The sequence below is a fragment of the Homo sapiens genome, chromosome 3, assembly GCF_000001405.40.
Source record: "Homo sapiens chromosome 3, GRCh38.p14 Primary Assembly".
Lineage (NCBI taxonomy): Eukaryota > Metazoa > Chordata > Mammalia > Primates > Hominidae > Homo > Homo sapiens.
The window spans coordinates 184,275,629-184,298,784 of NC_000003.12; the positions used below are offsets into that span (position 1 = coordinate 184,275,629).

A 23,156-nucleotide genomic window follows, 5' to 3' on the forward strand; every position below is an offset into this window, starting at 1 on the left:
AACTGCCTGTGTGCTATGTATTTGCCGGCTGAAGAGGGGCTGTGTGGACTACTGGGGGAAGACGTTCCTCAGGAGGGCATAATTTCTCTAAAGTGCTTAAAGGGGATGGAGAGAGCCTGAAATTTGGGGGAAGTAGGCCAAGGAGTATTAGCAACGTCTGGGCCTGGTTGAATTTCATTACTTTTCCTAGGAAAGTAAATTATGGGTGGCTTGAAGGAGGGTGCTGCTGAGATGGGGGGCGGACCATGAAGCGTGGAGGGGTCTCCGGTGTTGCTGGAGGGCAGCTGGAGCCTGCGGAGAGCCTCGGCGCGCTCCTCCCTCTCCCCCACCCTCCCCCCACCCCGGGCGGGGCTCCGCGTGGGGCGGTGGACTCGGGCGGGGGGGGGGGCGGCCGCGGCCGAGCGGGGGTGCTGCGCGGCGGCCGTGATGGCTGGTGACGGCGGGGCCGGGCAGGGGACCGGGGCCGCGGCCCGGGAGCGGGCCAGCTGCCGGGAGCCCTGAATCACCGCCTGGCCCGACTCCACCATGAACGTCGCGCTGCAGGAGCTGGGAGCTGGCAGCAACGTGAGTGGGGGCCCCGGGCTCCACGGGAGGGGACTGGGTGGAGGGGGACGAGGCAGAGGGGTCGGCCGCGGAGGGGCAGGCGGTGCCCGGCTCGCGGAGGTAAGGCTGCCTCCCGGGCCTGGTGGAGGGGTGATAGAGAGACCCCGGGCCCGAGAGCAGGGCAGGTGGGAAGGGAAGGGCCCTCTTAGCAGGGCGGAGGGGTCCGCGAGGCAGGGAGCACTGGGGCAGGGTCGTGGGCAAATAGCCCTCTCTGCCTGACCTCGGTTGGCAACCCCGACTGTCTGGCAGATGGTGGAGTACAAACGGGCCACGCTTCGGGATGAAGACGCACCCGAGACCCCCGTAGAGGGCGGGGCCTCCCCGGACGCCATGGAGGTGGGCAAGGGGGCTTCCCCTTTCTCACCAGGCCCCAGCCCTGGCATGACGCCTGGCACACCCAGGAGCTCTGGGCTGTTCTGGAGGGTCACCTGCCCCCACCTCCGCTCCATCTCTGGCCTCTGCTCTAGGACTATGGTGAGGCGATGCTAAGCCGTGACGTTGCACAAAACAGACTCAAGGCTCAACTCACTGGCTGGCCTCATTGCCCCCGGGCCCAGAGTTAACCCTGTGGCTCTGAAAACTGCCTGTGGCTTCACCCTCTGGTAATCTTGGATCCCTGCCCTGCATCTCAGTCACTCTCTGTCCCCCTGTGTTCCCCAGGTGGGATTCCAGAAGGGGACAAGACAGCTGTTAGGCTCACGCACGCAGCTGGAGCTGGTCTTAGCAGGTGCCTCTCTACTGCTGGCTGCACTGCTTCTGGGCTGCCTTGTGGCCCTAGGGGTCCAGTACCACAGAGGTAGGTGGGCCCACACTCTTCGTCAGTATTCATAACTAGGGGTTCTGGAGGCCTAAGGGCCTCTAAGATTTTCACTTGTGGGAACCAAGCCTTCCCTGCAGAAAAGCCCCCGGCTTTGCTTTCTCTTCCCAACCTTCCTGCTGTCATGGCCCTTGCAGAGTTTGCCTCTTCCAGACAGACAGACTGACAGTCTCCTACCCTCCGGCCATGTTCCCTACCACAGACCCATCCCACAGCACCTGCCTTACAGAGGCCTGCATTCGAGTGGCTGGAAAAATCCTGGAGTCCCTGGACCGAGGGGTGAGCCCCTGTGAGGACTTTTACCAGTTCTCCTGTGGGGGCTGGATTCGGAGGAACCCCCTGCCCGATGGGCGTTCTCGCTGGAACACCTTCAACAGCCTCTGGGACCAAAACCAGGCCATACTGAAGCACCTGCTTGGTGAGTGGGGCTGTTAGGGAGGCCTTGGGCCACCTATGTGCCTTGTGCCCAGCACAGGGCCTGGCACTTAGCAAATAGGCAGTGTCCATGAATGAGGAAGTGGATGGTTCTGTGAACACTCCAGAGGGTGGGGAGGCAGAGAGCAGGGGACTATTGAGAAGTGCAGATGGGTTTGATGGGGGCAGAACTCTGGGTACAATGGAGGGCCGCTTCTCTGCACTCTGTTTGGAGCACTGTCGTGGTGTGGTAGACACCAGGGAGCCTGTACTGCTTAGATATCCTTGGGTCTCCATGGACAGGGAGAGGAAGCCACGGCTTGCTGTTTCAGACACTCTTCCTGGGTCTGCGTTAGCAGGACTGCTCATTGACAAGGCAAGGAGAGAAACCGAGCAAGGGCCAGGGACTCCCCCTCAGCAGTTAACGTAATTGCCACCTGGATCCTGTGTTCTGCCCCACAGAAAACACCACCTTCAACTCCAGCAGTGAAGCTGAGCAGAAGACACAGCGCTTCTACCTATCTTGCCTACAGGTGGAGCGCATTGAGGAGCTGGGAGCCCAGCCACTGAGAGACCTCATTGAGAAGGTAGGGCCACTGAGCCGGTTGAGGGCAGGGGAGCAGGAGAGGCCTTGAGAGAGGAGATGGCCCAGGAACGCTTTGGGAGCTCCTGCACTAATCATTCCACTTATGGTCTCTACATAGATTGGTGGTTGGAACATTACGGGGCCCTGGGACCAGGACAACTTTATGGAGGTGTTGAAGGCAGTAGCAGGGACCTACAGGGCCACCCCATTCTTCACCGTCTACATCAGTGCCGACTCTAAGAGTTCCAACAGCAATGTTATCCAGGTGATGAGCTGGGAAAGGGTGGGGAGAGACTTAGGGACACTTTGCTGAGCCCAGACTTCCCTCTCCTGTGACAGGCAGGCTGGGCTGACCCCCCGGCCCCACCCCTACCCCCGCTCGGGAATTCAGGTTCCCATGGTGGGGAAAGCGAGGGGCTCACCTCCTTTCCTTGACATTGCAGGTGGACCAGTCTGGGCTCTTTCTGCCCTCTCGGGATTACTACTTAAACAGAACTGCCAATGAGAAAGTAAGGAACATCTTCCGAACCCCCATCCCTACCCCTGGCTGAGCTGGGCTGATCCCTGTTGACTTTTCCCTTTGCCAAGGGTCAGAGCAGGGAAGGTGAGCCTATCCTGTCACCTAGTGAACAAACTGCCCCTCCTTTCTTTCTTCTTTTCTTCCTCCCTCCCTCCCTTTCTTCCCCTTTTCCTTCCTTCCTTCCTCTTATTCTTCTAGTAGGTTTCATAGACACCTACTGTGTGCCAGGTCCAGTGGGGGAATTCTGAGATATAAGTTTCCGAGCCATTGCCACAGGAAGCGTTCAGTGTCGATGGGTTCATGGACCTAGATAGCTGAGAACAAAGCTCACAAGAGGGTCCTGAGGATTCAGGAGAGACTTAGGGAGCCAGCAAAGTCTTCCTGAAGAGATTGCATTTGAGCCAGGTCCTGTAGAATACATAGGAGTGGATGAGGGCATGCTGGGTAGAAAGAAGTTTAGGCCAGGTGCGGTGGCTCACGCCTGTAGTCCCAGCACTTTGGGAGGCCGAGGTGGGTGGATCACCTGAGGTCAGGAGTTCGAGACCAGGCTGACCAACAAGGTGAAACCCCATCTCTACTAAATATACAAAAATTAGCCAGTCGTGGTGGCAGGCACCTGTAATCCCAACTACTCGGGAGGCTGAGACAGGAGAATTGCCTGAACCTGGGAGGCGGAGGTTGCAGTGAGCCAAGATTGTGCCACTGCACTCCAGCCTGGGTGACGGAGAGAGACTCCGACTCAAAAAAAAAAAAAAAAAAAGAAAGAAAAAGAAAGAAGGAACAGTTTAAACAAAAGTGTTGATGAGGCTGAGCACAGTGGCTCACACCTGTAATCCCCGCACTTTGGGAGGCTGAGGCCGGCGGATCACTTGAGGTTAGGAGTTCAAGACCAGGCTGGCCTACAAGGTGAAAACCCGTCTCTACTAAAAATACAAAAATTAGCCAGGCATGGTGGTGTGCACCTGTAATCTCAGCTACTTGGGAGGCTGAGGCAAAGAGAATCGCTTGAATCCAGGAGGCAGAGGTTGCAGTGAGCTGAGATGGCACCACTGCACTCCAGCCTGGGCAACAGAACAAGACTTCATCTCAAAAAAAAAAAAAAAAGTGTTGACGAGGGAAAGGCTAGGTGTGTCTGGACCATGGCAAGGGGTCCACTGTGGTAAAATATAGAACTCAAGGCAGATGAGAGGCTGGAGAGGTGGGCAGGAATGGGTTATGGAGGGGACCTTGAATAGCACACTACGGAGTTTATTCTGTAGCTCCCGGAGAGCCATTGCATGCTCCAAAGTAGGGAGGGAGCGCAGTGCTTTGGGAAGTCAGTTTGTTTGGGGTGTGAAGAGTAGATGTGAGAAAGAAAGCCTGGAGATGAATTAAGAGCATCTGCGGTACTCCGTGCTCTGAGTCAGGAAGGTCCCAAATGAAAGAGTGGCAGAAGGAATGGTAGGAAGGGGAGGATGTAAGCGATATCATCAAGTCAGAATCATGAGTTCTTGGTGCCCGGATGTTAGAGGAGGGAAAAGGTGAAGATGGCTGAAGCTGTACACTTTCATGATGGTGGAATGGAGGGGTCCCTTGGGAATTAGGGGTGTCTCTAGGAAGAACCAGCTTAGGGTACATTGAGAAAGAGGAGACAGTGCAACATCACAGGAATAGGAGAGACTTTGGAGTCAGACCTGGATTTCAGTCTCAGCTCTGCTGCTTGGTGCAAGTTGATTAATCTCTCTGAGGCTGTTCCCTCATCCGTAAACAGGGGATCATAGCATCAACCTCATATGGCATTTGGAGTAGGTTAGGGGTACAAACTTATGCTCCTGCATGTGGCAGATGCTCAATCAGAGTGTGGGAGCTGCTCCTTTTAGACATGTGAGTTTGATGGGACCTGGGCACCTTACATACAGAGAGGTCAGCAGGCAGCTGGGAAAGCTGTGTGGAGTCCTGAAGAGAGAATAAGCGTGAAAGGACCCAGAGGCCTGAGGGGCATCTCCTTAGAAACCTAACCAGGCCAGGCAGGGTGTCTGTAATCCAAACACTTTGGGAGGCCAAGGCGACCTGATTACTTGAGGTCAGGAATTTGAGACCAGCTGGCCAACATGGTGAAACCCCATCTCTACTAAAAATACAAAAATTGGGCCGGGTGTGGTGGCTCTCACCTGTAATCCCAGCACTTTGGGAGGCCAAGGCAGGTGGATCACTTGAGGTCAGGAGTTTGAAACCAGCCTGACTAACATGGTGAAACCCCATCTCTACTAAAAATACAAAAATTAGCCCGACGTGGTGGCGGGTGCCTGTAATCCCAGCTACTTGGAAGGCCGAGGCAGGAGAATCGCTTGAACCTGGGAGGTGGAAGTTGCAGTGAGCTGAGATGGCACCACTGCACTCCAGCCTGGGCAACAGAGCAAGACTCTGTCTCAAAAAAAAAAAAAAGAAAGAAAAGGAAAAAGAAACCTAAACAAAGGCTTTGAAGAGGTGAGACAGGAGGAGGACAGAGAAAGGACAGAAGGAGATCCTTGTATTTTAAGGGCAGTGGGAGAGTCAGCAAAAGAGATTGCTGTGGAGTAGGACAACCATTTGTCCTTCTGTCATTCATTCAGAAACATCTGCTGAGCATCCCTTGGCCAGACCCTCCTCTAGGCATATGGTGAACAAGACACTTCTACTACCCTCTGAGTGGAGGAGAAGGCATAAAACAGTTCGCTACACAGTTGTCCTGTTTCCAGTTGTTGGGACTATTATAGAGGAGAAGCATAGGGTTCTGAGAGCAAGTGTGACCAGGAACCTGCCTAGTTCCAGGGTGCGGATAGGCTGCAATGAAGGGAGAGGGCTCTACAAAGGCAACAGGTTATGCAAAGGCTCCAAGGTGGGAAGGCATATGGCCAGCCCACTGGCCATTCTCAATGGATGAGGGAGCAGGAGGGGCATGCGGGCCAAGGCCTTCTGGACAGGCCCATAGCCTCACACTATGCAGGAGCATTGTGGGCCAAATTTAGGATTCATCCCGAAAGAAATGGAAAGGGAAACTCAAAAGTGATGTGAACAGATGTGTGATTTTGACATCATCTGAGTCAGGGGAGGAGATAATTTTTACAATTTGGGAGAGAACCACATCCTTCAACCCTTTGGAAGGGGCAAGAGGAAAGACTTCGGTTTGGCTGTCAGCATGTCACTGGTTGCCTTCAGGAAGCCTCCTGTGCTGGGATCTAGAGAAAGATGCAACACAAAAGGTTAAGATAGGATGAAAACTAAGAGTAGGCTGGGTGCAGTGGCTCACGCCTGTGGCCCCAGCACTTTGGGAGGCTGAGGTGGGCAGATTACCTGAGGTCAGGAGTTCGAGACCAGCTTGGCCAACATGGCGAAACACTGTCTCTACTAAAAATACAAAAATTAGCCATGCGTGGTGGCCCGCGCCTGTAATCCCAGCCACTGGGGAGGCTGAGGCAGGAGAATCGCTTGAACCCGGGAGGCGGAGGTTGCAGTGAGCCGAGATCACACACCTGCACTTCAGCCTGGGCGACAGAGGGAGACGCCATCTCAAACAAACAACAACAAAAAAACTAAGAGTAAAGCAGGGTTCAGGAGAGTCTCAAAAGTAAGCACTAAGCTGAAGGTGAGGAGGTAGGGAGAGAAGGGGTAAGGTGAGATCACTGGTTTAGCTAACCATCCCCCTCAGGAGCTGGGATGACTGGGATTGGTACTCAAACCTCTTCCTCTGATGCCAGCAGCAAGTAAGAGGAGAGGTGAGAGACAGGAGGAATTTGAAATACACAGAATGAATATTAAGGGATCTAAAACTTCTTGGTAAGTAGAAGAAGAGATGGCCTTTGGCGATTAGTGGAGCCCAGGTGGGCCTTCAGGTTGAGTGGGAAGTGGTTTCTGGGAGGAGGGTTAAGGGAATTGGCACAGAGCAGTGTTGAGTGTCTGTTTGCAGGTTTTCGCCCTGTTATTCAACAGATATTTATTGAGCACCTACTCTGTGGCAGACAGCTGCGCTTGGGTCTGAAATTACAGTGGTGAACAAAGCAAACCCAGCCCTGCTTTCATGGAGCCTCAGGGCCAGCAGGGGTGAGGCCACATGAGTTTGTACTGGACCCGAGCAGGGCCAGGGCCGCCATGGCCCTGGGGTCATCAGGCCTGGGCCACATTCTCACTCTGCCATCTGCTAGTTTGTGATGGAAGTCAAGCCGTGTCATCTTCCCAAGCTTCTGCCCTGGGGTGTGAAATGGGACTCATCTTCACTTCATGAAGTTGCTGTGTGGGGAGGAAAAGATACACTGTATGGAAAGCCTCTAATAGAGAGTCTGATGTATGTCTGCAGAAGTGGTCACTAAATATTTCTTCTCCATGCTTTTCTCTCCCTTGGAGACCAGCGGGTAGTGGAGAAAGCAGCTAGCTTGAGGCCTGGCAGGATGGGAGGTAATAGAGGCCTGAGGACACCATGGCCCCGATCCCCTGTGAGGTCCAGTCAGCTGTTCAGAGAAGGCACATGGTCACTGATGGGCTGGGACAACTAGCAGGGATCTAGGAAATGAGAAGGCAAAGCAGTATGGGAAGTAGGCCCATCTGCTGGACAGACATTTGCAGAGCACTTACTCTGTGTTCTAGTCCCTAGAGACAGCAGTGAGTAAGCTGCTGTAACTTGGAACAATGCTCTGCTGGAACTCACCTTCTCCTTGGAGAAATAGATGATAAACAAGTACAGAAGTAAGTAAACATGGCCGGGTGCAGTGGCTCATGCCTGTAATCCCAGCACTTTGAGAGGCCGAGGCGGGCAGATCACCTGAGGTCAGGAGTTCGAGACCAGCCTGGCTAACATGGTGAAACCCCGTCTCTACTAAAAATACAAAAAATTAGCCAGGCGTGGTGGCACACGCCTGTAGTCCCAGCTACTTGGGAGGCTGCAGCAGGAGAATCACTTGAACCCAGGAGGTGGAGGTTGCAGTGAGCCAAGATCGCGCCACTGCACTCCAGCCTGGGCAACAGAGTGAGACTCCATCTCAAAAAAAAAAAAAAAAAAAAAAAAAAAAAAGAAGAAGAAGAAGTAAGTAAACAATACTTAGCCAATGGAGGTAAGCAGTGTGTCAGAAATGAAACAGGTCATCCAGAAAGGCTTCCAGAAGGATCAAGCAGAAGAGATATTGGGCAGAGGTGGTGGTAAGAACAGATCTCAGCCTTGGGCAGGACTTGTTGCTGGGCTCTGAGGATCACCCGGGCCTTGACAGGTGCTCACTGCCTATCTGGATTACATGGAGGAACTGGGGATGCTGCTGGGTGGGCGGCCCACCTCCACGAGGGAGCAGATGCAGCAGGTGCTGGAGTTGGAGATACAGCTGGCCAACATCACAGTGCCCCAGGACCAGCGGCGCGACGAGGAGAAGATCTACCACAAGATGAGCATTTCGGAGCTGCAGGTGGGGCAGGCAGGGGGCTGGAGACAACTGAGAGGGGCCAGCCTTGGCATGGACCACCCAGCTTCCCTCCATGCCATCTCCCCAAGGCAGCCAGTCCTTTCCTCATTCCCTTGCTTTTCTGTGCTCCCCAGCTGCACTGCTGCTGTCCTGGGGAAAAAAATGGTGTCCATTTAGGCCACCTCTCACTGGGTCATCCTTTGGTCCCTTTCTTGCCTGGGGATGCATGGAGGGATTGTGTTAAAAATGTGTAACAGTTTGTATGAGATGTCCACAAAACAATCAGAATAGGCTGGGCATGGTGGCTGACATCTGTAATCCCAGCACTTTGGGAGGCCGAGGCGGGTGGATCGCCTGAGGTTGGGAGTTCAAGACCAGCCTAGCCAACATGGTGAAACCCCATCTCTACTAAAAATAAAAAATTAGCCGGGTGTGGTGGCACATGCCTGTAATCCCAGCTACTCGGGAGGCTGAGGTAGAAGAATCGCTTGAACCTGGGAGGCGGAGGTTGCAGTGAGCTGAGATTGCGCCATTGCACTCCAGCTTGGGTGACAAGAGCGAAACTCCATCTCAAAAAAAAAAAAAAAAAAAATAGAAGTGAAAGTTTCCACTGGGGGACCCGTACTGTGCCAGGCCATTAACACTTTAGATGTTGGATTATGGAAAAGTTGGGATGGAGTGTGGTTCTGGAGGAGAAGCCAGTACGTGCAGGGTGTTGGGAGTGGTATTTTATCAATTGTTAGGAAAATATTTGAATATCTAGGCCCCAGCTGAATGTCACATGTAGTGGTTATCCTTGTATAATAAGTGGTTGGGCTCCCAGATTGGAGGTGTCCAGGCCTGGAAAAGGGTATATTACAGGAAGGATACACCATGAAGCCAGTAGTTGTTGCTATGGCAATGGGAAGGGCTCCCAGGCTACAGCATACAGTGGGGGAGGGTTCTGCTGGAAGCGAGTCGGGCAGGCAAGGCCTGAGATTTTTTTCTTTCAGGCTCTGGCGCCCTCCATGGACTGGCTTGAGTTCCTGTCTTTCTTGCTGTCACCATTGGAGTTGAGTGACTCTGAGCCTGTGGTGGTGTATGGGATGGATTATTTGCAGCAGGTGTCAGAGCTCATCAACCGCACGGAACCAAGGTGTGGGGGTAGCCCAGGGTGAGGGTGGGTTCTGTGGAGGTCTCCAGCAAGGCTGGGCATAATGGACAGGCCCAGCCACACAGAACAACATTTGGTAATGCTATGGGCCTTCCAAACATTGAATCAGAATGTCTATGGGCTTTTCCTCTGCGCTAGGGTTGCAGGGTGCTCCCTGTGATCTCTGTCCCCCCACTGCTCTCCAACCTGACCTCTACAGGCAGGTGTGTGGCCCCGGGACCAAAGAGGAACCCCGGGACAGCTTCCACATATGCCTCTCGGGACTCCTGCAACTTGCATGTTCCTGGGGGCTGGTTTGAGGGGTGTGAAGGGCATCCCACCTGCCCTTTTCTTATTTTCTGGTCTGGTTGTCAGCATCCTGAACAATTACCTGATCTGGAACCTGGTGCAAAAGACAACCTCAAGCCTGGACCGACGCTTTGAGTCTGCACAAGAGAAGCTGCTGGAGACCCTCTATGGCACTAAGAAGGTGGGCTTTCTGATTTTGCCTCCACGTTCTGATCCAGTCTAACCGATGCTGCATACCTTCAGTGTGACAGGCACCATGTGCCTCATGGTGCACAGGTGCATAGTATGGAGCGCAGAATTTGGAAGCAAGCCGACTTGCGTTTCAATCCCAACTCATTCATTTTCTAGCCTGTAGGACCTTGGGCAGATCACCTAGCCTCTCTGACTCTCCATTTCCTGCTCTGTAAAGCAGGAATAACTTGGAGGGTTGTCAGGAAGAGTATTAGCTGAGTTAATGTAAGTGAAGCACCTGCACAGTACATGGTATGTATAGGCACTCGGCTTTGATGAGGAGGATGGAGAGGATATAATAAATAAGTGAGTATTTAGTTTCAAGATGCCCCATTAAGTGGGGGGAGTGGACATGTAAACAAATACATTATATTTTGTGGTGATAACTGCTCACACTGAGTGAAAGACTTTTCTGCTATAGGACAGAGGTGGGACAGCACATTTCACCTGGGGGGATGGTGGGGAAGGGCATCAGAGAAGCCTTCTCTGAGAGGTGCCATGTGATGGAAAAGTTCACCAAGAAAGCCGGGGAGAAGGGCATTCCAGGGACAAGGAACGGCATGTGCAAATTCCTAGAGGCCAAAAGGAGCATGGTGGCTTTACACACGTTCTGGCATGAGCTTGAGAAGAGGGCAACTGAGAGACGGGGTTTGGTAAGGTGGGCATGGGGCACTTGGGAAGGGATCTGAATATTGTATTGGGAAGTCCGGCCTTGATTCTTTCACAGATGGGGCTCCATGGGAGTAGCATGGAGAGGAGAAACACAGTTGGGTTATGTATGAAATGATATTTCTGGTGGCTAAATGGAAGATGGAGGGGAGCAGCAGGGAAGCGGGGATGAGAATGGAGTCAGGGTGTCCAGTTAAGAGGCAATTGCAGGCCAGGCTTGGTGGCTCATGCCTGTAATCCCAGCATTTTGGGAAGCCAAGGCAGGTGGATCACCTGAGGTCAGGAGTTCAAGACCAGCCTTGCCAACACGGTAAAACCCCATCTCTACTAAAAATACAAAAAATTAGCTGGGCGTGGTGGCAAGCAACTGTAATCCCAGCTACTCGGGAGGCTGAAGCAGGAGAATCACTTAAACCTGGAGGTTGCAGTGACCTGAGACTGCGTCATTGCACTCCAGCCTGGGCTACAAGAGCAAAACTCTGTTTAAAAAAAAAAAAAAAAAAAGGCAATTGCAGACTGAGTGTGGTGGCTCGTGCCTGTAATCAGCATTTTGGGAGGCTGAGGTGGGTGGAGTGCTTGAGCTCAGGAGTTCAAGATGATAGTGTTATAGGTCAGGGAAGTGGTAATCATTTTCCCCGTCCACTTGAGTGGATGGGAAAGATGATTAAGAAATCAAAGCAGGCAGGGCGCCGTAGCTCATGCCTGTAATCCCAGCACTTTGGGAGGTCAAGGTGGGCGGATCACTTGAAGTAAGGAGTTCAAGACCATCCTGGCTAACACGGTGAAACCCCGTCTCTACTGAAAAGACAAAAAATTTAGCCGGGCGTGGTGGCGGGCGCCTTTAGTCTCAGCTACTCGGGAGGCTGAGGCAGGAGAATGGCGTGAACCCGGGAGGTGGAGCTTGCAGTGAGCTGAGATCGCACCACTGCACTCCAGTCTGGGTGACAGAGTGAGACTCCATCTCAAAAAAAAAAAAAAAGAAGTCAAAGTAGTAGAAACTGCTGATAGACTGAATGTGGGGGGTTAGGGAGATGGAGGAAGCTGAGTGACTCCCAGGTTTCTTGCATGGGGGACTGACTGGATATAAAATTAGTTGTGGGCCGGGCACGGTGGCTCATGCCTTTAATCCCAGCACTTTGGGAGGCCAAAGCGGGCAGATCACTTGAGCTCAGGAGTTCAAGACCAGCCTGGGAAACATGGTGAGACCCCTTCTGTACTAAAATTACAAAAGAAAATAGCTGGGTGTGGTGGCATGTGCCTGGGGTCCCAGCTATTCGAGAGGCTGAGGTGGGAGGATCGCTTGAGCCCAGGGGACAGAGGTTGCAGTGAGCAGTGATTGCACCACTATACTCCAGCCTGGGTGACAGAGCAAGACCCTGTCTCAAAAAAAGACAGATGTGGCACTGAGCAAACCCAGGACTCTTGTCCAGAGCTGAGAAGGGCTGCTAGCCCCAGTGACAGAGAAAGGCCCTCTGACTGGAGGACACAGCCATCTCTAGGGTCCTGGCTCTTTGTCCTTTAACAGTCCTGTGTGCCGAGGTGGCAGACCTGCATCTCCAACACGGATGACGCCCTTGGCTTTGCTTTGGGGTCCCTCTTCGTGAAGGCCACGTTTGACCGGCAAAGCAAAGAAATTGTGAGTCTACAAGATTCTTTCAACACTATGCCCTCAAAATTGACTGTTCATGTATGTGCAGACATATAGAAAAACAACGGGAGCCAGGCGCGGTGGCTCACGCCGGTAATCCCAGCACTTTGGGAGGCCAAGGCGGGTGAATCATGGGGTCAGGAGTTCGAGACCAGCCTGGCCAACATGGTGAAACCTGGTCTCTACTAAAAATACAAAAAATTAGCCGGGCGTGGTGGCGGGTGTCTGTAATCCCAGCTACTTGGGAGGCTGAGGCAGGAGAATCACTTGAACCCAGGAGGCGGAGGTTGCAGTGAGCCGAGATCGCGCCAGTGCACTCCAGCCTGGGCGACAGAGCAAAACTCTGTCTCAAAAAAAAAAAAAAAAAAAAAAGAAAAGAAAAGAAAAACAACTGGATGTAAATTGATGAACAAATGAAGTAGTGCTGCTTTGGGCAGTGGGATTATAAGAGTCCTTTAAAGTTGTCTATGTGTTTATGTTTAACTATATAACTAGAAGAAATATTTATTTATTAGGATATGATAATGGATGTGCTTAAAGTATTACCTGTAAGGATGTTTATGGTTTTTATGGCAATGTTGTTTATAATAGCAGAAAATGAGAACAGGTTAAATGTCCAACTATAGGGTAAAGGAAAAATAAATTGTGGTTAGGATGGGTTGTGAGGATCCTTAAATGGCTGATATATCTTTCAGCAAAAAAAGTAGGTTACAAAAAATATATACCCTATACAACATAATTCCATATTTTATATGCATATCAGGGGAGGGAAAAACTCTAGAAGTGGGTAATCAAAATGTTAAAAGAACTTATCTATGAATGAGTGCTTTATAACTGGTCTGTTCTTCAATTCTCAATTTTCCAAATTTTCTGTGAATGTCCTCTTTTCATAATCAGATAAAAATCATTGCACTAGGCTGGGCGTGGTGGTTCACGCTTGTAATCCCAGCACTTTGGGAGGCTGAGGCGGGTGGATCACGTGGTCAGGAGTTCAAGACCAACCTGGCCAAGATGGTGAAACCCCAGCTCTACTAAAAATACAAAAATTACCCGGGCATGATGGCGGGAGCCTGTAATCCTAGCTACTTGGGAGGCTGAGGCAGGAGAATCGCTTGAACTCGGGAGGCGGAGGTTGCAGTGAGCCGAGATTGCGCCACTGCACTCCATCCTAGGTAACACAGCCAGACTCTGTCTCAAAAAAAAAAAAAAATCATTGCACTATATTAAATTATAATATAATTTGATGAACTTATTGTCAATTAAAATGTGTACTTAATTAAGAAAAAAGCCAGCCACAATCCCAGTACCTTTACAAATGGTGTTTCCTTCTCATCGTCTCCAGGTGCTCAGCCGTATTTCTTTAGTCTAGACGTTCCCATTTCCCCTGGGTGGACAGGGATGGGGCACCAAGGGTGGATGGGTGGGGCAGGGATGCATTCAGTGCAGGGGAAGGCTGACTTTACCTCCTCCCTCCCAGGCAGAGGGGATGATCAGCGAAATCCGGACCGCATTTGAGGAGGCCCTGGGACAGCTGGTTTGGATGGATGAGAAGACCCGCCAGGCAGCCAAGGAGAAAGTGAGCGGTGGCTAGGGTTGGGGCGCCATCTTGAGGTGGGGTTCAAGGATACAGTTTTGCTAGGAACCTGGGGAAGGAAACAAACCCTTAACCTGGTCTCTTCAGGCAGATGCCATCTATGATATGATTGGTTTCCCAGACTTTATCCTGGAGCCCAAAGAGCTGGATGATGTTTATGACGGGGTGAGTACCTACGCTCATCAGTACTGAACTTCAGCCCTGTAGAGGGCACTGTTCCCTGGGCTTAGAAATTGGGGCTCAAGCACTGGGAAAGAGGTGCTTGTCGGTTTCTTTTAGAGGCAGATGGAGGTAACCAGCATTGTTAAAATGTTGGCTCTGTGACAGGCTGCAGGCCAAACAGCAGTGAAATATAGTGCTAACGAGCCAAGATTTGGAGTCAAGCCTAATCAAATTCTGTTTCTACCTCTAACTTTGTAACCTTAACAAAATCTCTCTAGGCCTTGGTTTCATTTTCTGTAAAATGGGGGTCCTACTAGTGCCTTCCTCATAGGGTTGTTGTGAGATAAATGAATACAGTATGTAAAAAAACAGCACCCATAACATAAATGGCCTTTAAATATTGCCAATTATGGTTTACTAGATATTTTACAGTTGAGGAAACTGAGGTTTGGAGAGATACTAATGAGTAGCCAAACTGGCGCTATTATCTTCTCCAATGGATTCTCTTGCTCTCTTTCTACTTCCCACCTTTCCCACAGTACGAAATTTCTGAAGATTCTTTCTTCCAAAACATGTTGAATTTGTACAACTTCTCTGCCAAGGTTATGGCTGACCAGCTCCGCAAGCCTCCCAGCCGAGACCAGTGAGAATGACGGGGTGGACATAGACACTAGGGGTGGCAGGAGAGGTGGGGGAAGGTTCCTGGGATGGGGGAAAAGGGTGGCAAGACTGGTCCCAGACCGGCGGCCCCATACCCTTGCAGGAGGTAGGGCAGGGCTGTTGGGAGGGGAGCAGTGTCAGGAGAGTCGGGAGCCTCAGCCCCTCACTCTTCCTCCGCCAGGTGGAGCATGACCCCCCAGACAGTGAATGCCTACTACCTTCCAACTAAGAATGAGATCGTCTTCCCCGCTGGCATCCTGCAGGCCCCCTTCTATGCCCGCAACCACCCCAAGTGTGTCTGAAGCAGGAGGGGCTGGGTGCTGGGGCCTGGGCCTGTGGTTGAGCTGGGAGCAGGGCTGGAGGTGGGATTCAGAAGTACCCCCGCCATGTCCTCACTTGCTATTCCTCACCCACCAGGGCCCTGAACTTCGGTGGCATCGGTGTGGTCATGGGCCATGAGTTGACGCATGCCTTTGATGACCAAGGTAGGGGCCCATGGAGTCGTCCCCTCTAGCCTAGAATTCCCAGTGGCTCCTGCAAGGCCTTGGGACATTGATGTAGCCCCAAGGGCCCTGAAGTCTGTGGACCAGGGCTGGTGGGGGCACTGCTGCCCCCAAGAGACGAGCTCTGGTTTTGGTGGGGTGCAAAGGTGAGTTCTCCTCAGGGCGCGAGTATGACAAAGAAGGGAACCTGCGGCCCTGGTGGCAGAATGAGTCCCTGGCAGCCTTCCGGAACCACACGGCCTGCATGGAGGAACAGTACAATCAATACCAGGTCAATGGGGAGAGGCTCAACGGCCGCCAGACGCTGGGGGAGAACATTGCTGACAACGGGGGGCTGAAGGCTGCCTACAATGTGAGTGGCCTGACCAGCCCTCCAGCGGCTGAGGCCTGCTGGCCTGGGGTGAAAGGTGCCGGGTGGGTGGGGGCAGGCCTGGATGGGCTTGTTGCCCACTGTTCTGTCCCCAGGCTTACAAAGCATGGCTGAGAAAGCATGGGGAGGAGCAGCAACTGCCAGCCGTGGGGCTCACCAACCACCAGCTCTTCTTCGTGGGATTTGCCCAGGTATCACCCTCTCGGAAGGCCTGGGGTCTGCCCCTTTGTCCTGCTCCCTCCTGAGTATGTCATTAGGAGAACTCTGGGGCACGTGTCAAACGGGCTGGTGAATGGGGCTGAGGCTGGGGCATGAAAGGTGGGCTGGGAAGGCCCATGCCCAGAGCCTCCGGCCAGCCAGGGCCCACAAAGGCAGCCTGAAGAGGCCTGAGCGGGAGAATGCCTTGGTAGGATTTCGCATAGTTCAAAGGGCAAGGTTGTCGTGCTTGCGGGGCACAGGGTGGCGAAGGGGGCAAACGTTCATCCTCACGCTGTTCCTGTGAGGGAGACATGCAGGAAACGAAAGCTCGGGACGCAGAGTGGCCTGTCCAGGGCTGCCCAGGAATAGAGTAAGTGGCAGAGCAAGGACCCAGGCAGAGCCTCCGCTGGGCAGCCACAGCAGGCAGCTTCTGGGGCTCCGCTTTTTCCCCTCGTCATGTCCATGCTGGGCAACCCGATGTCCAGGGCAGTTTTGGAAGGAACTTGGGAGGGGCTGCAGCGGTGGTGGTTTGTGCCCCTGGGATGGCTGTAGCTGACTCTAAGGCCCGGCTCCACACTAGACACCATATGCCCCCATGTCTGTCCTGGCCCGCAGGTGTGGTGCTCGGTCCGCACACCAGAGAGCTCTCACGAGGGGCTGGTGACCGACCCCCACAGCCCTGCCCGCTTCCGCGTGCTGGGCACTCTCTCCAACTCCCGTGACTTCCTGCGGCACTTCGGCTGCCCTGTCGGCTCCCCCATGAACCCAGGGCAGCTGTGTGAGGTGTGGTAGACCTGGATCAGGGGAGAAATGGCCAGCTGTCACCAGACCTGGGGCAGCTCTCCTGACAAAGCTGTTTGCTCTTGGGTTGGGAGGAAGCAAATGCAAGCTGGGCTGGGTCTAGTCCCTCCCCCCCACAGGTGACATGAGTACAGACCCTCCTCAATCACCACATTGTGCCTCTGCTTTGGGGGTGCCCCTGCCTCCAGCAGAGCCCCCACCATTCACTGTGACATCTTTCCGTGTCACCCTGCCTGGAAGAGGTCTGGGTGGGGAGGCCAGTTCCCATAGGAAGGAGTCTGCCTCTTCTGTCCCCAGGCTCACTCAGCCTGGCGGCCATGGGGCCTGCCGTGCCTGCCCCACTGTGACCCACAGGCCTGGGTGGTGTACCTCCTGGACTTCTCCCCAGGCTCACTCAGTGCGCACTTAGGGGTGGACTCAGCTCTGTCTGGCTCACCCTCACGGGCTACCCCCACCTCACCCTGTGCTCCTTGTGCCACTGCTCCCAGTGCTGCTGCTGACCTTCACTGACAGCTCCTAGTGGAAGCCCAAGGGCCTCTGAAAGCCTCCTGCTGCCCACTGTTTCCCTGGGCTGAGAGGGGAAGTGCATATGTGTAGCGGGTACTGGTTCCTGTGTCTTAGGGCACAAGCCTTAGCAAATGATTGATTCTCCCTGGACAAAGCAGGAAAGCAGATAGAGCAGGGAAAAGGAAGAACAGAGTTTATTTTTACAGAAAAGAGGGTGGGAGGGTGTGGTCTTGGCCCTTATAGGACCCTGTGCCAATAAACAGACATGCATCCGTCAGCCTGTCTCTCTTCCTTCAGTCCTGTTTTCATGTATCCATTCACTCATTCCACCAGCGTCTATAGAGCAACTACTGTATGCCAGCCACTGTCGTCAGTGCTCATTTACTCACTAGTGGATACAGGGGACTGAGATTTGAAGCCCAGAGAAGACAGAGAAAGAGAGGCAGGATGGAGGAATGGAAGGAAGTTGAGTCTGACTGGGCAGAATACATTGTCTGCTAACTGGTGGCCATAGCCTCATCCCCAGCTGTTCTACAGCTGGAAGGATTTGCTGCTTTCCTCCACTGGTGCGTGCAGCCAGGCCTGACACTGAGTGTGGGTAACTACTGGGCCAGGGTCAACTTGGAAGATGGGCGGCCCTTACCCTGCAGTGGTGGGAAGTCCTGGGCATATCACTCCCTGAGCTCCCAGAGCTCAAAGCCCTGGCCTCTGCTTGTAGCTGAAAAGACAAACATTTCCTTCTAGCCTCAAAGGCTCAGAGCTCCCAAGAGTCAGCCATTCCACCTACACACACTCATTAGGCCTACCAAGTGCCAGGCACAGAGACTGCATATATGGCCTCTACCCTCCAGAGTGAGGGAGGGAAAAGGAACGTTGATTGAATACCTCCTGTGTTCCAGGCACCTGTGCTAGGTGGCTCATTTCTTTATTCATTCATCCATTTATTAATTTATACATTCATAGGCTTATTTTCAAAAAAAATTGCTTTATCAACAATGTGTCAGGCACTGGTGATACACAAATGAATAAGATAGGTGAGGTGGTGCGCCTGTAGTCCCAGCTACTCGGGATGCTGAGGTGGGAGGATTGCTTAAGCTCAGGAGTTCAAATCCAGCGTGGGCAACATAGCAAGACCTCATCTCTTAGGAAAAAAACAAAACAAAACTGATGAATGAGAAGTTTCTTCTTCCCTTAGGTGACTCTTCTTCTGTTGGCACTTTCGCCTTCATGAGCTCACCTAATCCTTGCAACAACCGCCCTTTTCAAATACTCTAGTCTCCATTTTACAGATCTATCCCTAACTACTTCACTGCAGTCAAAGAGAGCTGGACTGAAATGGAAGCTCTGATAGTTTTGTGAGCTTCAGCCTGTTCCCTAAACTCCATGAACCTCAGTGTCTTCACCTATGAAATGAGAACTACAGCAAAACAGTGGAAAGAGTCCAATCTCAATTCTCTTTATTTTTTATTCTTGAGATGGAGTCTCACTCTGTCACCCAGGCTGGAGTGCAGTGGTGCAACCTCCACCTCCCAGGTTCAAGTGATTCTCCTGCCTCAGCCTCCTGAGTAGCTGAGATTACAGGCGCGTGCCACTACGCCCAGATAATTTTTGTATTTTTAGTAGAAATGGGGTTTCACCATGTTGGCCAGGCTGGTCTCAAACTCCTGACCTCAAGTGATCCACCTGCCTCAGCCTCCCAAAGTGCTGGGATTACAGGCGTGAGCCACAACACCCAGCCTCAATCTCAATTCTCTTTAAAACTCAGTGCTTTAGGCTGGGCGCGGTGGCTCAAACCTATAATCCCAGAGCTTTGAGAGGCCGAGGCGGGCTGATCACAAGGTCCAGAGTTTGAGACCAGCCTGGCCAATATGGTGAAACCCCATCTCTACTAAAAATACAAAAATTAGCTGGGCGTGGTGGTGTGTGCCTGTAATCCCAGCTACTTGGGAGGCTGAGGCAGAATTACTTGAACCGGGACCTGGGAGGTGGAGGTTGTAGTGAGCTGAGATTGCGCCACTGCACTCCAGCCTGGGCTACAGATCGAGACTCCATCTCAAAAACAAACAAAAAAACACAAAAAAACCTTAGTGCTCTCCAAGGTGCAAGTAGGGATGAGTTTGTTCAGTGTGGAAGGGGAGGAGTGAAGCTCTGGTTATGATTGCTGCTGGTCCTTGGCCCCTTGGTGAATGGCAATAGTATGTGTCCCACAATCTTTCCATAAAGAGCTGTATGTGGATCTCTGTCATGTGACCTCAAAGTGCTGGCTGGCCACAAAAGGAAGAAAGTAGCCAACTGCTCAGAAAGGAGAAAAGTGTCCTGAGGAACTCCATGACCCAGGGAAAGCACAGCCTGAGTCTCTAAGAGCATGACTCCAGGGTAAATGGCTGCGTGTATTGGAAAGAGGAGGCCATCACATCTGCAGGCCTGGTCTACCTCCAGCTCTGCCACCCTTGAGCTGTGTGACATTAGGCCTTCAGGTCTCAGTATCTTCTGCAGTCTGTAAAACAAGTGAATTGGATGAGACGATCTTTGAGGAGCATTTCTGCTTTAATGCTCTAAAAAGTGAATCCATGGGCTTAGCAAATTCCGGAACCCAAAGAGATAGTAAGTGACTCGTGACATTCAGATGAGATTTATAATGTCAGACAGCATAATGACTGAGGAGACAGGCTTGGCAGATAAAGCCTTACCCTTTCCCTGACACCTAATTTCAGAGGCCAGCTTAGGATTCTGACAGGCTGGCCAGTGGGTTATTAAAACCTCATATTGCAAAAAGGTCAAAGTGTCAAATGATGATGATGATGGCTAGCCTTAATTTACTGGGTCACTATTTTGCTTAAGCTTGTGCTAAACACTTTAAACATACCTTCTCATTAAATGCACACAATGATTTGCAAGGAGGTTCTATCATTGTCTCTATTTTACGAATGGAGAAACTAAGGGAAAAGATCACGTAACTTCCAATGTCAGACAAGACAGATTGCATTAAAGTTAGATTTGGAACTCAGATGCCCTTAATCACTATCAGTTAGTCTTCCAACACGACAGAATTTAGACTGAAACACACACATCTGTCTTCTGGGCAATTTCATCATGCTTCTGAGTGGGACCATCACCAGCAGGTGCATTTCCATGCAACCCAGATTCCCTGGGCAAGGCACATGTGACAACCAGACAGCTTCAGGAAACCTAAGCACACATTGAGCTGAAATCAAGCCAGGGAACACCTGTTTGTTGAACACTCTGCAGGTGCTTGGTTCCAGAGGCAAGCCAAGGTGAACATCAGGTAAGAGATGTAACCTTTACCCTTAGTAGCCCTGTCAGGCTGAGTATGCGTATGTGATATGCTCTGGTGTGTCCAGGCAGAAGGGGAAATAAGGGATGGTGCTCCTCGGTGGACACAGGGAAGCAATTATAGGTAAAGTGCTAGGCCATCCCTTATGCAGTCCCATTGGTAAGTCTAACTAATTCCCATCCACAATAAGCTAACATATGCCAAGAAGTATGATTTCACACCCTTGATAGCACTTTGGAAATGTCCGGGTGGAAGAGAGTCCCTCATAAAAATAAGCACAGTTTTCTGCAGGATTGGAGGTCCTATTTTTTTTTTTTAATTAAAAAAAGCAGGCTGGGCGCAGTGGCTCATGCCTGTAATCCCAGCACTTCGGGAGGCTGAGGTGGGTGGATCACTATGTCAGGAGTTCAAGACCAGCAGGAGAATCGCTTGAACCCGGGAGGCGGAGGTTGCAGTGAGCCGAGATCGTGCCACTACACTCCAGGCTGGGCGACAGTGGGAGACTCCATCTCAAAAAAAAAAAAAAAAAAAAAAAAAAAAAAAAAAAAAGCAGTTTTAGTGGGTCTATCATGATTTACAAATGGAGAAACCTCATGATTTTCCAGTGCCTAGTTCTGGCCTCCAAAGACAGCTCCCAGTGGGTTGTTATTATACACAAAGATGGCCTGAAGATGAATGCAAAGCCATTCATTCATTCATTCATTCCGCATGCATGCATTCTGCAAATATTTATCAAGGCTCACTACAAGCCAGGCGCTAGGCTGGAGGCTAGGAGCATAAAGATGAATAAGACACAGTTCCAGGCCGGGCGCAGTGGCTCATGCCTGTAATTCCAGCACTTTGGGAGGCCAAGGCAGGCAGATAACTTGAGGTCAGGAGTTCAAGACCAGCCTGGCCAACATGGTGAATCCCCGTCTCGACTAAAAATACAAACATTAGCGGGGTGTGGTGGTGCATGCCTGTAGTCCCAGTTACTTGGGAGGCTGAAGCAGGAAAATCACCTGAACCCGGGAGGCAGAGGTTGCAGCAAGCTGAGATCATGCCACTGCACTCCAGCCTGGACGACAGAGCGAGACTCCGTCTGGAAAAAAAAAAAAAAAAGAAGAAGGAAGTCATGGATAAAGAGGAGTTTTAGAAAAAAATCCCTCTACAGATGACTGAAGAAAGCATGAAAATGTATGGACACCGTGAAGCCAGAGATAGAATAGGCAGAACAGTTATGGACTGTTGAATTTTTGTCTGCAGACCAGCGCTGGGGGAGTCATTGGCAATGGCAATGGAAGGTCATGCCTAGAATCCAAGCACTGAGTGGAAAAGAGCAACAGGTATTTAAAATGGATTCAGACCTTTACTTCCGTATCTACACAAACATTTACCCAACATTCACTCTGTGATATGTTGTACTAGGTGTCTTTTTCTTCAATGTGTCAGAACCCATAAAATAAGATTGCTAGAAGACTCCTGAGTGTTCCCACTAGGTGAAAGGGAGAAGAGATACTTCCTTTTTTCTCACCTTACACGCACACACACACACACACAGCTGAAGAAGAAACTCTGGGGTTTGCCTAAAACAGTCAAGGGCTTTGAAGACTGAAAGACTGAGCTTTAAATTTTGATTCCGCCGGGCGCGGTGGCTCACGCTTGTAATCCCAGAACTTTGGGAGGCCGAGGCGGGCGGATCACCTGAGGTCGGGAGTTGGAGACCAGCCTGACCAACATGGAGAAACCCCGTCTCTACTAAAAATACAAAAATTAGCCGGGCGTGGTGGCACAAAAATTCAACAGTCCATAACTGTTCTGCCTATTCTATCTCTGGCTTCACGGTGTCCATACATTTTCATGCTTTCTTCAGTCATCTGTAGAGGGATTTTTTTCTAAAACTCCTCTTTATCCAGCTACTCGGGAGGCTGAGGCAGGAGAATCACTTGCACCCGGGAGGCGAAGGTTGTGGTGAGCCGAGATTGCGCCATTGCACTCCAGCCTGGGCAACAGGAGAGAAACACTATCTCAAAACAAATAAATAAAATAAAAAATAAATCCTCATTTTACTACTTGATATGATCTTCTCTGTAAAATGGACCTAACCCTACCAATCTCAAAAGATTGTAAGAAGTGCATGGAATCACTCGAAAGCAGTCCTGACATAAGCGCGTCAGTCACACGCCTCTAAGGCTTCACAGGGAAAGACGAGAAGATAGAGGACGAAGACCTTGTCTTGTTCTGCTTTTAGCTCCAGAACTTGGCGGGGAGCACAGGGCTTTATTGATCGATGTCAACTCCACCTGGCTCCCCAAAGTATTTAAAATGGTAGCCACGGGAATAGCAGAGTACTCTCTTTCAACTGGGGAGGAATATCAAATGAGGTTAATAGGCCGGGCGCGGTGGTTCACACCTGTAATTACAGCTCTTTGGGAGGCTGAGGCGGGCAGATCACTTGAGGTCAGGAGTTCGAGACCAGCCTGGCCAACATAGTGAAACCCCCGTCTCTACTAAAAAATACAAAAATTAGCTGGGCGTGGTGGCGGGCGCCTGTAATCCCAGCTACTCGGGAGGTTGAGGCACGAGAATCACTTGAACCTGGTAGGCGGAGTTTGCAGTGAGCCGAGATCGCGCCACTGCACTCCAGCCTGGGCGAGAGAGCGAGCCTCCTTCTCAAAAGCAACAACAACAACAAAACCAAATGAGGTTAATATTCCACAGTGGTGTGGGGCTAGACACAGTTACACAGACTTTAT

The 23,156-nt window shown here is 51.5% G+C and overlaps 2 protein-coding genes across 4 annotated transcripts in view; both read left to right on the forward strand.

Annotated features, from left to right (window-relative positions):
• The window catches only part of EEF1AKMT4-ECE2 (EEF1AKMT4-ECE2 readthrough), a 43,360-nt gene extending 25,957 nt beyond the window's left edge, over nucleotides 1-17,403 (forward strand). The window contains exons 3-19 of the mRNA NM_014693.4: nucleotides 1,264-1,399; nucleotides 1,623-1,838; nucleotides 2,297-2,421; nucleotides 2,539-2,685; nucleotides 2,864-2,929; nucleotides 8,157-8,345; nucleotides 9,335-9,477; nucleotides 9,850-9,964; nucleotides 12,209-12,319; nucleotides 13,809-13,907; nucleotides 14,013-14,090; nucleotides 14,627-14,730; nucleotides 14,929-15,039; nucleotides 15,165-15,232; nucleotides 15,412-15,602; nucleotides 15,716-15,811; nucleotides 16,434-17,403. Of these exons, the coding sequence (NP_055508.3) occupies nucleotides 1,264-1,399; nucleotides 1,623-1,838; nucleotides 2,297-2,421; nucleotides 2,539-2,685; nucleotides 2,864-2,929; nucleotides 8,157-8,345; nucleotides 9,335-9,477; nucleotides 9,850-9,964; nucleotides 12,209-12,319; nucleotides 13,809-13,907; nucleotides 14,013-14,090; nucleotides 14,627-14,730; nucleotides 14,929-15,039; nucleotides 15,165-15,232; nucleotides 15,412-15,602; nucleotides 15,716-15,811; nucleotides 16,434-16,610 (2,172 nt within the window). The 3' untranslated portion in view covers nucleotides 16,611-17,403. The remainder of the gene's footprint in view (nucleotides 1-1,263; nucleotides 1,400-1,622; nucleotides 1,839-2,296; nucleotides 2,422-2,538; nucleotides 2,686-2,863; nucleotides 2,930-8,156; nucleotides 8,346-9,334; nucleotides 9,478-9,849; nucleotides 9,965-12,208; nucleotides 12,320-13,808; nucleotides 13,908-14,012; nucleotides 14,091-14,626; nucleotides 14,731-14,928; nucleotides 15,040-15,164; nucleotides 15,233-15,411; nucleotides 15,603-15,715; nucleotides 15,812-16,433) is intronic.
• ECE2 (endothelin converting enzyme 2) lies at nucleotides 394-17,403 on the forward strand. Of its 3 annotated transcripts, none has more exons than NM_001100120.2 (19): nucleotides 394-564; nucleotides 853-1,077; nucleotides 1,264-1,399; nucleotides 1,623-1,838; nucleotides 2,297-2,421; nucleotides 2,539-2,685; nucleotides 2,864-2,929; nucleotides 8,157-8,345; nucleotides 9,335-9,477; nucleotides 9,850-9,964; nucleotides 12,209-12,319; nucleotides 13,809-13,907; nucleotides 14,013-14,090; nucleotides 14,627-14,730; nucleotides 14,929-15,039; nucleotides 15,165-15,232; nucleotides 15,412-15,602; nucleotides 15,716-15,811; nucleotides 16,434-17,403. In NM_001100120.2, exons 1-19 carry the CDS (start codon nucleotides 526-528, stop codon nucleotides 16,608-16,610), a joined length of 2,436 nt encoding a protein of 811 aa, NP_001093590.1. In that variant the 5' UTR covers nucleotides 394-525; the 3' UTR covers nucleotides 16,611-17,403. The 3 variants fall into 3 exon arrangements, with proteins under 3 accessions (NP_001093590.1, NP_001093591.1, NP_001032401.1); NM_001100121.2 differs by having other exon boundaries at nucleotides 853-939; NM_001037324.3 differs by lacking the exon at nucleotides 853-1,077.
• Nucleotides 17,404-23,156: the final 5,753 nt, after the last annotated feature.

Coding starts and splice junctions, on each gene's coding strand:
- ECE2 (NM_001100120.2), top strand. CDS start 526: ATGAACGTCGCGCTGCAGGAGCTGGGAGCTGGCAGCAAC. Junction 13,908..14,012: donor GCCAGGCAGCCAAGGAGAAA/GTGAGCGGTGGC, acceptor TGGTCTCTTCAG/GCAGATGCCATCTATGATAT. Junction 15,812..16,433: donor TCTTCGTGGGATTTGCCCAG/GTATCACCCTCT, acceptor CCTGGCCCGCAG/GTGTGGTGCTCGGTCCGCAC.